Source organism: Homo sapiens, chromosome 6 (genome assembly GCF_000001405.40).
Source record: "Homo sapiens chromosome 6, GRCh38.p14 Primary Assembly".
In the NCBI taxonomy this organism is placed as follows: domain Eukaryota; kingdom Metazoa; phylum Chordata; class Mammalia; order Primates; family Hominidae; genus Homo; species Homo sapiens.
In genome coordinates this window covers 50,245,035-50,258,567 of record NC_000006.12, presented here as the reverse complement: position 1 = coordinate 50,258,567, position 13,533 = coordinate 50,245,035, and the positions used below count along the sequence as shown (strand labels likewise).

The following is a 13,533-nucleotide window of genomic DNA, read 5'->3' as shown; positions in this document are numbered from 1 at the left end:
ATATCATCCATGAGGACTTCCCCAACCTAGCTAGAGAGGCCAACATTCAAATTCAGAAAACACAGGGGACCACAGTAAGATATTTCACAAGATCATCCCCAAGACGCATAATCATCAGATTCTCCAAGAGTTGGTTTTTTGAAAAAACTAATACAATAAATCACTAGCTAAACTAATAAGAAAAGAGAGAAGATGCAAGTAAACACAATCAGAGATGACAAAAGGGTATCTGACCACTGACCCCACAGAATTACAAATAACCATCAGAGAATATTATGAACACCTCTATGCACACAAACTAGAAAATATAGAAGAAATGGATACATTCCTTATCTCATACACTTTCCCAAGACTGAGCCAAGATGAAACTGAATCCCTGAACAGACCAATAACAAGCTCCAAAAATGAATCAGTAATAAATAGCATACCAATAAAAAATAAAAACCCAGGACCAGATAGAATCACGGCCAAATTCTTCCAGAGGTACAGAGAAGAGCTGGTACCATTCTTATTGAAACTATTTCAAAAAATTAAGGAGGAGGGAGTCCTTCCTAACTCGTTCTATGAGACCAGCATCATCCTGATACTAAAACCTGGCAGAGATACAACAATAAAAGAAAACTTCAAGCCAATATCCTTGATGAAAATCGAGGAAAAATCCTCAAGAAAATACTGGCAAACAAAATCTAGCAGCACATTAAAAAGTATATCCAACAATATCAAGTAGGCATTATCCCTGGGATGCAAGGTTGTTTCAACAAATGCAAATCAATAAATGTGATTAATCACATAAACAGAACTAAAGACAAAAAACATGATTATCTCAATTAATGCATAAAAGGCTTTTGATAAAATTCAACATCCTTCATGTTAAAAACTCTCAATGAACTGAAGAAACATACCTCAAAATTATAAGAGCCATGTATAAAAAATCCACAGCCAAAGTCATACTAAATGGGCAAAAGCTGTAAGCATTCCCCTTAAAAACAGGCCCAAGACAAGGATGCCCTCTCTCACCATGCCTATTCAACATAATAATGGGAGTCCTGGCCAGAGCAATCAGGCAAGACAAAGAAACAAAGGGCATCCAAATAGAAAGAAAAGAGAGAAAGTCTAACTATTGCTGTTTGCAGATGACATGATTCCATATCTAAAAAACCTCATAGTCTCAACCGAAAAGCTCCTCAAGCTGATAAATTACTTCAGCAATGTTTCAGGATAAAAAATTAATACACAAAAATCACTTGCATTCCTATAAACCAGCAGTCCCTAACCTTTTTGGCACCAGAGAATGGTTTCACGGAAGACTATTTTTCCATGGACGAGTGGCAGAGAGTGGGGAAAGGTTTTGGGATGAAACTGTTGCACCCCAGATCATCAGGCATTAGATTCTCATAAGGAGCATGCAACTGGGATCCCTTGCATGCATAGTTCACGATGGGATTTGCACTCCTATGAGAATCTAATGCTGCTGTTGATCTGAAAGGTGGCGAAGCAGGTGGTAGTACTTGCTCACCTGCTGCTCATCTCCTGCCGTGTGGCCCGGTTGCTAACAGGCCACGAACCAGTACATGGCCCAGGGGTTCAGTACCCCTGCTATAAACCAACAACAGCCAAGCCAAGAGCAAATCAAGAATGCAATCCCATTCACAATTGCCACAAAAAGAACAAAATACCTAGGAATACAGCTAACCAAGGAGGTGAAAGATCTCTACAAAGAGATCTACAAAACACTGCTAAAATAAATCAAAGGTGACACAAATAAATGGAAAAATATTTTATGCTCATTGATAGGAAGAATCAATCTCATTAAAATGGCTATACTGCCCAAAGCAGTTTATAGATTCAATGCTGTTTCTATCATACTACCAATCACATTCTTCACAGAACTAGAAAAAACGATATTAAAATTCATATGAAACCGTGAAGGAACCCCAATAGCCAAGGCAATCCTAAGCAAAAAGAGCAAAGTTGGAGGCTTCACACTACTTTATTTCAAACTATACTACAGGGGTACATAAACAAAACAGCATGGTAGTGGTACAAAAACAGACACATAGACCAATGGAACAGAATAGAGAGCCCAGAAATAATGTCACACACTTACAACCATCTGATCTTTGACAAAGCTGACAAAAACAAGCAATGGGGAAAGCACTCTTTATTCAATAAATGGTGCTGGGATAACTGGCTAGCCATATACAGAAGACTGAAACTGGAACCCTTCCTTACACCATCTAAAAAATAAACTCAAGATGGATTAAAGATTTAAATATAAAACCCAAAGCTATAAAAACTCTGGAAGACGACCTAAACAATGCCATTCTGGACATAGGAATGGGCAAAGATCTTATGGTGAAGACACCAAAAGCAATTGCAGCACAAGCAAAAATTGACAAATGGAATCTAATTAAACTAAAGAGCTTCTGCACAACAAAAGAAACTATCAACAGAATAAACAGAAAGCTACACAATGAAATAATATATTTGCAAAATATGCATCTGACAAAGGTCTAATATCCCGCATCTATAAGGAACTTAAACAAATGTACAAGAGGAAAAAATAACAGTCCCATTAAAAAGTGGGCAAAGGACATGAACAAACACTTCAAAAGAAGACATACACTCAGCCAACAAGCAAATGAAAAAAAAAAAAAAACCCTCAACATCATTGATCATTAGAGAAATACAAACAAAACCACCATGAGATACCATCTCACATCAGTCAGAATGGCTATCATTAAAAAGTAAAAAAATAACAGGTGCTAGTGAGGTTGCAAAGAAAAAGGAATGTTTATACATTGTTCGTGAGAACGTAAATTAGTTCAACCATGGTGGAAAACATTGTGATGATTTCTCAAAAACCTAAAAACAGAACTACTACAATTGGGCCCAGTAATATCATTATTGAATACATACCCAAAGGAATAGAAATTGTTCTATCATAAAGACACGTGCACACATATGTTCATTGCAGCACTATTCACAATTCCAAAGGCATGGAGTCAATCTAAATGTCCATCAATGATAGACTGAATAAAGAAAATGTGGTACATATAAACCACAGAATATTATGCAGGCATAAAAAAGAACAAGTTCATGTTCCTTTGCAGGAACATAGATGGAGTTAGAGGCCATTATCCTTAGCAAACTAATGCAGAAACAGAAAACCAAATAATGCATGTTTTCACTTATAAGTGGAAGCTAAATGATGAGAACATGTGAGCACATAGAGGGGAACAACACAAACTGGGGCCTATTGGAGGATGGAGGGTGGGAGGAGGGAGAGGATCAGGAAAAATAACTAATGGGTACTAAGCTTAGTTCTTGGGTGATGAAATAATCTGTACAACAAACCCTCATGAGATGAGTTTACCTACATATTAATAACAAACCTGCACATGTACCCCTGAACTTAAAAATAGGAAGCGGTCCCCCTAGACTGAGCAGATCTGTGTAGAGGAGACAGAGGCAGAAGCAGGATACCTTACTCCTCTCTCTATGGTGCTATCCTGGGCTTTTACGTTCCATCAGGATTTCACCACTCCCTTGGTGCTCCTCAGCATACTTGCTCAGTCATTCTAGCCAAAATACAGTTGTTTATTCCCTCATTTCCCTATAGCTGTTTTGTTCCTTTTTTGGGGGAAGATGATTGCCAGCCAACTGTACTTGGCTATGTTGGTGATATTACTCTTTAATAGCATTTTAACCACCTTTCCTTCCTTAATTTTTACCTCTCTACTGTCCATTTCCTATAAAGAAATTATGGAATAATTTAAAATTCAAGTCAGATCAAGTAATTCCTCCAAAAACTTCCCATCTCATTCAGGTAAAATTCAAAGTGCTAACTATGTCTTGCAAGGCCCTTGGTGATTGGGACTATAGAGCATATCTCTTGTCATTCCTCCTGTCTCCCACTTTGCTACAGGCACCCTAGCCTCTCTGCTGTCCTTAAAACCACTGCCATGCTCTCCCTTCAGGGCATTTGTGTATGTGGTCCTTTTCTGAAACATTCTGCCTTAGATAGCAGCATAACTTTTTCCATGCTCTTTTCCATTCTTTTTTTCTTTTTGCCTCTCACTTAGTTTACATTTTATTTTAAAAAGGTAATTTTTTAATATTTTATGAAATAACATTCTCCATTATTTTTTATTCCCCCTTTTCTTTGCTGTAGTTTTCTTTGTAGCATTTATGGCCATGTGGCATATTATACTTGGATTTAGTGATGCACTGGACTATTCCATTCCCTTTATTTCTAGAATGTAAGCTTGTTGAAGACATGGACTGTCTTAGTCTCCTTGTACTGTGATAACAAAGTACCATCAACTGGGTGACTTAGACAATAGAAATTTATTTTCTCAGAGTTTTGGAGGCTAGAGTCTAAGATAAAAGTGCCAGCATGGTCAGGTTCTAGTGAGGGCAGTCTTTCTAGCTTGCAGACGGACACTTTCTTTCTGTGTGCTCACATGGTCTTTCCTTGGTGTGTGCATGAGAACTTGAAGTCTTTCTCTTTTCCTTTTTTTATAAGGCCTTGAATCCTGTCAGATTAGTATTCCACCCCTGTGATCTCATTGAACCATAATTAGCTCCTAAAATCCCTTTCTCCAAATACAGTCACACTGAAGTTAAGGCTTCAACATACAAATTTTGGTGGAGAACTGTTTAGTCTATAGCAGAGACTTTATTGAATTGTAGAATGAATGCATGAATTTTTTTCCATGTACCCCTTGGCTCATGTGTAAAACAGAGAATGTGCCTGGACATCTGTATAACATATGCAAGCATTCTGGGACAGTTAGGAGCCCTTTGAACATTCTGTAACATTTAAGTGTCTGTGTGTGCTTCAATTTTTCTATGTGCTTTCTGTAACATTTAAGTGTGCTTGACTCACTTATATGCAAACTCGCACACACACACACACTCACATGACTCTAAGGATAGGGAGGGCTGCTGCTCTATCTCTAGAACGGATGTATGCCATCATCTCTAAGTCCCAGTTCAAGCCCAGTCAGTATGCTCCCTTCCACTCACCCTATGTGAAAATTTTATAGTCTTTTCCAAAGTTCAATACCATTCTAAGCAGTCACGTGGGAGGAAAATATAGTCTTTTAGTTGGAACACCTAATGTTTTTTCGGAGCTGGGGACTTTATTTCCTAAGGTCAAATAGTATCAGTCAAGTATTGCAGAAATCACACAAAGAGCCTAGATCTAGGGTGGCTTGCATGCTTTTACTTTGTGGGTGACAATTCTGCTTCTAGAGTTGCTTCTACCTTACTTACCACTCATCTGTTCAACATTGTCATCACAGTTAGGATCCCCTGTGACTGTGGAACATGTATCAGGAATTCATGCACGGCCTAGCAGATATATGCCTTTTTCTTAAAAAGAATCCTGAAGTGGTTACAATTCATTTATATCAGTGGACTAGTGTCTGTGTCCTCAGCGTGGAACCCCAAATCAGAAGATTAGAAAAGCTGGTCCACAGCTACTCTTTGAGGAAGTTTCGCCTTCGTCCCACTGGGGCCCTGGGTCACCGATATTTAATTGTTATATTATTTTCTGATGGCTGGGAGGAAGGTTTCAAAATTGATGAATATTGCCCCACCCACTGTGCTATCATTTCATCTTAGGTTTTTTACTCCCATAGCACTTCCTGCCTGCCTTCACAAACAAGAGGTTATTAAGGGTAGGAGTTGCTCAATTTGTGTATTTTAAGCAAATTTTCAACATAATTTTAGCTTTCAAACTTTTTACCTTTCAAACCCAAAAGTGAGTTTAACTAATAACAAAATGGTTGGATTTACTGGTTTCCAATGGACTGCAACAGAATACTCTCCCTTCAAAGTTGGGTCGTGCTATCTGTAGTCATGGTATCCTTTAAGTTTCCCTGTAAAATTCAGATTTAGAGTCATTTGTTGCACTGACCTCTATAGTTATTTCACCACTATTTTGTTTTTTATTCTTGTTCTGAAAAGTAGTTTGCCCTTTGCCCCCTCCCTTATTAAGTTCCGTCACTGGAACACCATCAGTCATCATTGCTTTTTTGCTGCCTATATAATTTTCTTTATATATATATATATATATATACCTATATCTATCTATCTATATGCATCTATCTAGATACATAGACAGATATCTGGATAGACAGATAGATAGATAGATAGATAGATAGATAGATAGATAGATATAGATAGATAAATAGATAGACAGATACATATATTTATCTTTTTGGCATCCTGAGAAGTTTGGCATGTTTTATGTATGAATGTCTTCTCAGTATAGAAGTTCATATATGAATATCATGGGCCAGCATACAGGCTCCCAGAGAACCTGGCAGCATCCTGGCACTTAGGGTTAAAGAGTTATTATCATACCAAATATCTAGCTCCAAAACATTTCCATTACTATAAAGTAAAACCTCTTATCCATTGAGCAGTCAATCCCCATGCCACTGATAGCCCCTGGTAGACCCTAATCTACTTCTGTCTCTATGAACTTGCCTATCCTAGCGTTTTATATGGGTAGAATCATATAATATTTGTCCTTTTATGCCTGGCTTTTCACTTATATAATGTTTTGGAGGATCATCCATGTATCAGTACTTCATTACTTCTTATAGGTGAAGAATACATACAATATTCCATTGTATGTATGTAATACAATTTATTCATCCACTAATGGAAGTTTGGGCTATTTTCACTTTTTGATTATTATTAATAGTGCTGTTATAAATATATGTATTTGTGAAAACAGGTATTCAAGTCCATGCATATGCATGTTCATAGCATGAGTACACATAATAATCACGTAATCAAAAGATGGATATAATGTCTTCATATTTTTTATGCTTGGGGATTGCTGAGCATCTTGGACCTCTGGATTTAAGTTTTCATCAAATTTAAAATATGTAAATGCTATTTATTTTCTTGCTTCTCCTTTCCTTCAGGGAATCCAGTTACATGTGTATTTGGCTGTTTAGAATTACCTCACAGCTCACTTTTTTTTTAAACTCCTTTCTCTGTTTCATTTTGAATAATTGCTATTGTTGTGTCTTCAGTGTCACTAATATTTTCTTCTCCATTGTCTAATTTGCCATAATCTCAACCAGTGTATTTTTTTAAATCAAAGACATTGTAGTTTTTTTGCTAAAAGTTTTATTTACGTATTTTATATAAATTCTGTTTCCATTTAATGTTTGGAATAATAAATGTTTTAATATTATTGTCCTCTAATTCTAACATCTGTGTCAGTTTTGGTTCAGTTTGTGTTGATTGATTGATTGATTTCTGCCCTCCTTATGGGTTCTATTTTTTGCTTCTTTGCAATCCTGATAATCATTGACTGGATAGCAGACATTACAAATTTTGACTCAATGGGGATGGAGATTTTTGTGTCTCTGGAAATATTCTTGAACTCTGTTAAGTTATTTTTAAATAGCTCGAATTTTGAGGGTCTTGCTTTTAAGTTTTGTTAGGTGAAACCATAAAAACAGTTAGTTTAGTTCTAATTATTTGTCATTACTGAGGCCAGACTCTTCTGAATGCTCAATGCCATGATTCATGAGAAGGCCATTTTAGCTGATGCGAACAGGCACTATTCTTGGCCCTTTGTGAGTGCCAGGCAGTGTTCAACTTAATCATCTATGATTCTTTCCCAAACTCGGGTAGTTTTCTTACATGCATGTAAGAATTAGTACTCTGCTAAATATGGAAGTCAGATGCTCCACACTCTTCTCTTTGTAGCTCTCTCCTTTCCATTACTCTGTCCTGCAACCTCTAGTAGCTTGATTCTTCCAGATTCTCAGTTCCTCAATGGAGGGAATCTGCTGGTGCTGCCTCAGTTCCTTTGGGCTGCACCAAAAGCTAGAAACCCTGTTAAGGCAGTTATCTGGGGCAATCATAGGGCTCTCAGGAATCACTGTCCTTAGTTGCCTGATACCTATTGCCTTGAAAACTGTTGTTTTCTATATCTACCTGCCAATTTTTTTGTTGTTTGTTTTCAGATAAGAGATTAAATCTTGTCTTTGTTACTTTATTTTGGTCAGAATTGGATGTACTTTCTCATCATTTAGTCAATGATAATTGTCCTTTGATTCTCTGAACTATTCTAGTTTCCTACCGAGAAGTTTCCTTTTTGTTGAAACTGGCTTGATTTAGGTTTTTCCAATTTATATCTGAAAAAATCATGATTAATCAACAGGCAATAATCTAAGAACACTTGAATTTATACAGCAGATTGACAAAGTCAGAATCCATTTAATATTATTAAAATTAACTGTTAAAAATCTTATTTTCTGCAATTTTTTAGTGGTAGGCCCAACTATGTATGATTTAAGTCCTGATGAAAGGAAGAAAAATTATATTCTTCCATCTAGATGAGCGACAGAGGGAAATCTGATAAAGATGCCGTAAGTCCACAGAAATCAGAGATTTCCTCTTGGTTTCTGTGTAATAATTGACAAAATCCCTGGATGCTTCTAGCAAATGTTACTGCAACATAAATGCTTCATAAAAGGCAGATGCAACATGAGATGCAGGTTCACTTCAGGCTTCAGACACTTTTAATACGACTACTGCCCACCTGCTTGAACCCTTAAGACTTTTCTTCCTTGAAAATAAAATTTTGCTGTGTTATAGATAGTAGTTCAAAAATATCTTAATATGTAATAATTGTAGGTCCCATTTATTCCCTCTTAACTGTACATGAATCATCAACTCCTTTGGGAAATATTTTGTGATGTAAATGCTGTAACCTTTTCTGGGCTATTTGGCATTACTGTGTGAGAGAGCATAACTCTGACCTCATACAGTGAAGCATCAGTAACTTAACAGATTGACAGGGCTGGGACCAAATGCACAGAAATCTTTGACATGTAAGAGGCTATTTTGGTAGCTTTCATCGTGCTTGACATTCTTTTGACCTATGTCGCTATTTATTTTTTCTATAATGATGTCATCATAAAGCTATGTGTTACTAGGAAAATTTCCCTGGTAGTTTAAACATAAGAAAAAATGTTAATTTCATTACCTTGTCTTCTCATAGAATGTTTCTGCCATCTGGCTTTTGAAGGGTAAACTAGAAGGTAAGATTGTATTTTAAAAATTACCAACAGTGGTGTATATTATGGCTGAAGAAAATGTTCTGAGTTCAATGAAATGTTTTTTATATCTAAAATTGGAACTTGGTCTATAGAAATAGAGAAATCTCCTTGAAATTTCTAGAGAACAAGAAATGAAAAAATAAACAATGAGAGAAGTAACATGAAGCCAAATATATATTTATGGAATCAAACTCTGATTCCTATTAGTAGAACCTGTATCTAATAAAATTGAATAATAAAATATGCAATACCTAAAAAAGGAAATGACCATAGACCTGCTTAATAAATAATGATTTATTTTCTCGAAGATGACACACATCAAATTTGAGTTTGATATGAAGTTGAAAGAAATTGCGAACTTGTTAGATGACAGAATTTGGAGTAAAAAAGCTCTTAACAGGCTAGAAAATTGAGCCTAATTTTAACATTGCACTAGATACAACTTAAGTGACAAGATGAAAGGTTTTTTTTTTTTTAACTGGGCTTTAAAGTAGGAGAAGCATGTGTGTGTTTGTGTGTCTGTATATATGTGTGTGATACACATATATATGGAGTGATAACATGATCATTAAGTGTCAAGTAATATGTGAACAATTTATATGAATTATCCCATTTCATACTTATGACTACCTGAGACTATAATTACTCCTATTAATTCTACCAAAGCAGACACTGAATTTCAGAGTGGTAAGTGATAGAGTCAAGATATTAACCTGATCCTGGTCCAACTGATTATAAAGACCAAGCTCTTATTCATATTCTATTTGCGTTTCTTTAGCTAAATATGAGTTACATTTTACATGACTACTCAAGAAACCCAAACTACATGAACGACAGTGAAATATCTAATAGTGGAGAGGTAAATGTTTTCTTTCGGACATAAAACAAACAAAATCAAAGAAACAAAGCCATCAGATGTGTTTCTGCTCTGTAAGCTGTTGTTCAGGTTGCCTCATACAAACATAGGTGTGAGCTAAAGAAGGTCATGGTTAAACAATGGTGGACAATATGTGTGTCTGGACTCTGCTCTTACAGTTTACTTATGCCCACTGTTCATGCTATACATTTGTTGTTACTAAATACCACCGACTGTGTGGCTTAAACAACAGAAGTTTGTTTCCTTGCAGTCCTAGTCCAAGATCAAATTGTCAGCAGAACTGATTTATTCTGAGGTTCTCTCTCCTTGGCTTGGCTTGGAGATGGATGCCTTCTTCTCGATACCATCACATGGTCTTCCCTCTCTGTGTTTCTGTGTCACGATCTCCTCTTGGCAGGACACCAGTCATATTGGTTTAGGAACCACTCATAAGATCTCATTTTACCCTAATTACCTCTTTAAAGGTCCTATATCTAAATCTAGTCACATTCTGAGGTATTGGGGTTAGGACCTTAACTTACGAATTTTGAGGGAAAAAAATTTATCTCCTAGCATATGCTAATGATTGATATCATATCCAATTTCAGAGAGAGGCCAAAGGGCCTAGTTTTATTACTTGGAAAGGCTGAGAAAACTCAATGCAAGATGGGATATTTCAGATGAGTGTTTAAGTGGTCTCCCATGGTCAGATAGTCCATCTCTACCAGGGTCCAAGAGCATGATGTATGTTGCTTTTCATATTATGTACTCATTTTCACTGTAGATGACAAAGAAAGCCTTTATTTAGAATCCTAGGGACCTCCATTGTAATCTTTCTATAAAACCTTTCTAGTCACTGATCTTCTTTTTTTTTTTTTTTTTTTTTTTTTTTGAGAAGGAGTCTTGCACTGTTTCCCGGGCTGGAGTGCAATGGCACGATCTCAGCTCACTGCAACCTGCACCTCCTGGGTTCAAGCGATTATCCCTGCCTCAGCCTCCCAAGTAGCTGGGATTACAGGTGCACACCACCACACCTGGCTAACTTTTTGTATTTTTAGTAGAGACAGATTTTCACTATGTTGGCCAGACTGGTCTTGAACTCCTGACCTTGTGATCCACCCACCTCAGCCTCCCAAAGTGCTTGGATTAGAGGCGTGAGCCACCACGCCCGGCCTATACTTCTTAATATTATAAGGGTATGCTGGGTCACATGACCCAAGTGGCAGTACCTCTAGCCTTAAAGATTGAATCTGGTGTAATACCCATTCCTGCTCTAAGTCCCACTCAAAACTGGCTCTATCATGCATTGCGCTTCCTTAACCATAGTGGAAAGTAAAACATTAAATAATTTGTTTTTACTTTGGAAGGGCTGTTTCAACCCTCTTCTGACTGTTGTAGCCCTAAAAGTTTTGCAAATTTAGCTAGGCCCTCAATCTTCATGGGGTTTATCTCCAGTTTCTGAAGCACATGTGTCTCCCTAAATAGTAACAACTACTTTTTCACCCAGCTTAATGAGCTTGTAAACAATGTGATGGATCAATATGCTGTTCATACTATGAAGACAGCCCAGATTTCTTTAGATTGTATTATGACTGCACCGTAGTTAACCTAGCTCTTGGGAAAAATAGTAAATGAACATTATTGCCCCTTCCACGTGAATGCAAACATTTTCTAATTTTTCCTTCTGGATAAAGTAAGAAAGTCCTCCTTTACCAAATCAATAGCCTTATAGCATACAGGAACCTGGGGCCATAGTAATCTACTCTACATAAAACCACATCTAGCACAAAGCCTGCAATTGAGGCCACTACTGGGTAAAGTTTATGATATCCTGACTTTTCAACTTTGAATAGCCATTGCTTTTATTATGCTTGTAAGGAGCCAATGTTGTGAATTAGCAACATTTCTTGGAGTCCTCACTAGGGTGCTATATTTCTTATAATGGGAGTGTGCTTCCAATACCCTGCCACTTATAACTATTCAATTTTATGTACTAGACTTTTAAATAAAGCATTCCTGAAATCTAGTTCTACCTTACTCCTCTGGCCCTTGTTGGTCCATACTAACTAGGTCATGATACTCTTTGAGGTGGAGTCCCTTTTCTCAGTTATTGGCACCAGAACGTTTGGGCTGGTTCGTGTTATAGGCCTAGGGAGTGGAATGGGAGAAGGAGGGAGGTGGGGCAGATCCTAGAGGAGGATAATGTGCTATATTGTGGGCAAAAGGCCTCTGCATTTTTTCTAAGCAAGTGGCAGTGGGTGGGGGGTTGCAATTATTAGCATAGAGGGATGGGTAGTTTCTGCAAGCTAAGAGTTGAAAGGATTCTGAATATAGAAAATTTTCAGAGGCATATACCCAGATGTGTCTACCCAAAGTGCCAAGGTACAATTTATTTTTCAGCCAGGCAAGAGCCAGCACTTTTGCATCACAGAACTGCCTTGGTTGGGCATTTAACCTTCTCTGGAGTTAAGGCACTCTATTAAGTACTGGTCCTCATCCTCGATTTTCTCTAATCTTCTGATCCAGAATATGAAAGCCTTTTGGTAGGCTATCAGAGAGACCTACTGAATTTCAATATTTAATTTTCAATGACCTGTTAATCACCCAGAGCTTTTTCTAGGTTAGCAGTGGTGCTTAGCAATTGTCTTCCCTTTCTCATAATATTTAAGCTTCTGATACTTTGCAGCAGCTAGAGCATTTACCTCCACTGGTATCTTATCTCAATTCACCACCAGGGAGAGTTTTAATAATTGTACCATCACCTTAAGCCAAGGATTTTTCTGTGTTCTACATACTACCAATAATTGTATCTTCATTGACAGATGTGTAGTTAAGTGAGTTAGCTCCAAAACCACACCATAACACTTTCTTTCTTTGAATATCATTGATATGAAATATCACAGTGTGGTTCTCTGGAAGCAGATGTTGAGATTGAGATTTTCTGCAGGATAATTATTGAATGATAACATCAGGGGTTGGAGGAATATAGTACATACAAGATTAAGCAAAAGAAAAAGACAAATTGCCATGAAATCCCAACAAAGCATGGGCCAACCCCACGGGAAGATCTGGAATATTCCCCATGAAACTCTGATAGATTTGGCTTTTGGTTGTCTGAAATGGTTAGGCATTGTACCACACTTGACACATCTGCCCCCATGCAATTCAATAAGGGTTCTTTCTTGACAAGGTATCACTTTGCAGCTGAGGGAAATGGAAAGAGTTGACAGTTGGAAGGTATATGCTTTAGTAGCTGAGGCTGCATATCCTTCCTTGAAGAATATGAGCTATGCATCTCAACTTGCGACAAAAAAGTTAAGTTGTATTCTCTATTCAACCATGTATCTTGCAATAAAACTAATATCAGAGGAATCAAATAACCACATCAATGTCAATTTTAAGTGGATCATTTAAGAAAAAAATCCAATTTCTTAACACTTAGCCTATTCCCTCTGTATATTACCCCAATTTTGTTTCACAAAATAGTCTCTTGTGTGCTATTGAGAATGTGTTTCATTCCAGTAGATATTTTTCTGTTTTTTTTTTCATTTTCTAGTGACAAATTTATATAGTAAC

At 37.0% G+C, this 13,533-nt stretch overlaps 1 annotated feature.

Moving 5' to 3' along the window:
- Positions 753 to 1,359: an enhancer, noted in NCBI's record as "OCT4-NANOG hESC enhancer chr6:50224922-50225528 (GRCh37/hg19 assembly coordinates)". NCBI's record gives its function as "activates a minimal SCP1, AML or CMV promoter by ChIP-STARR-seq in naive H9 embryonic stem cells {active_cell/tissue: H9 hESC(naive)}" and the evidence as "EXISTENCE:reporter gene assay evidence [ECO:0000049][PMID:30033119]".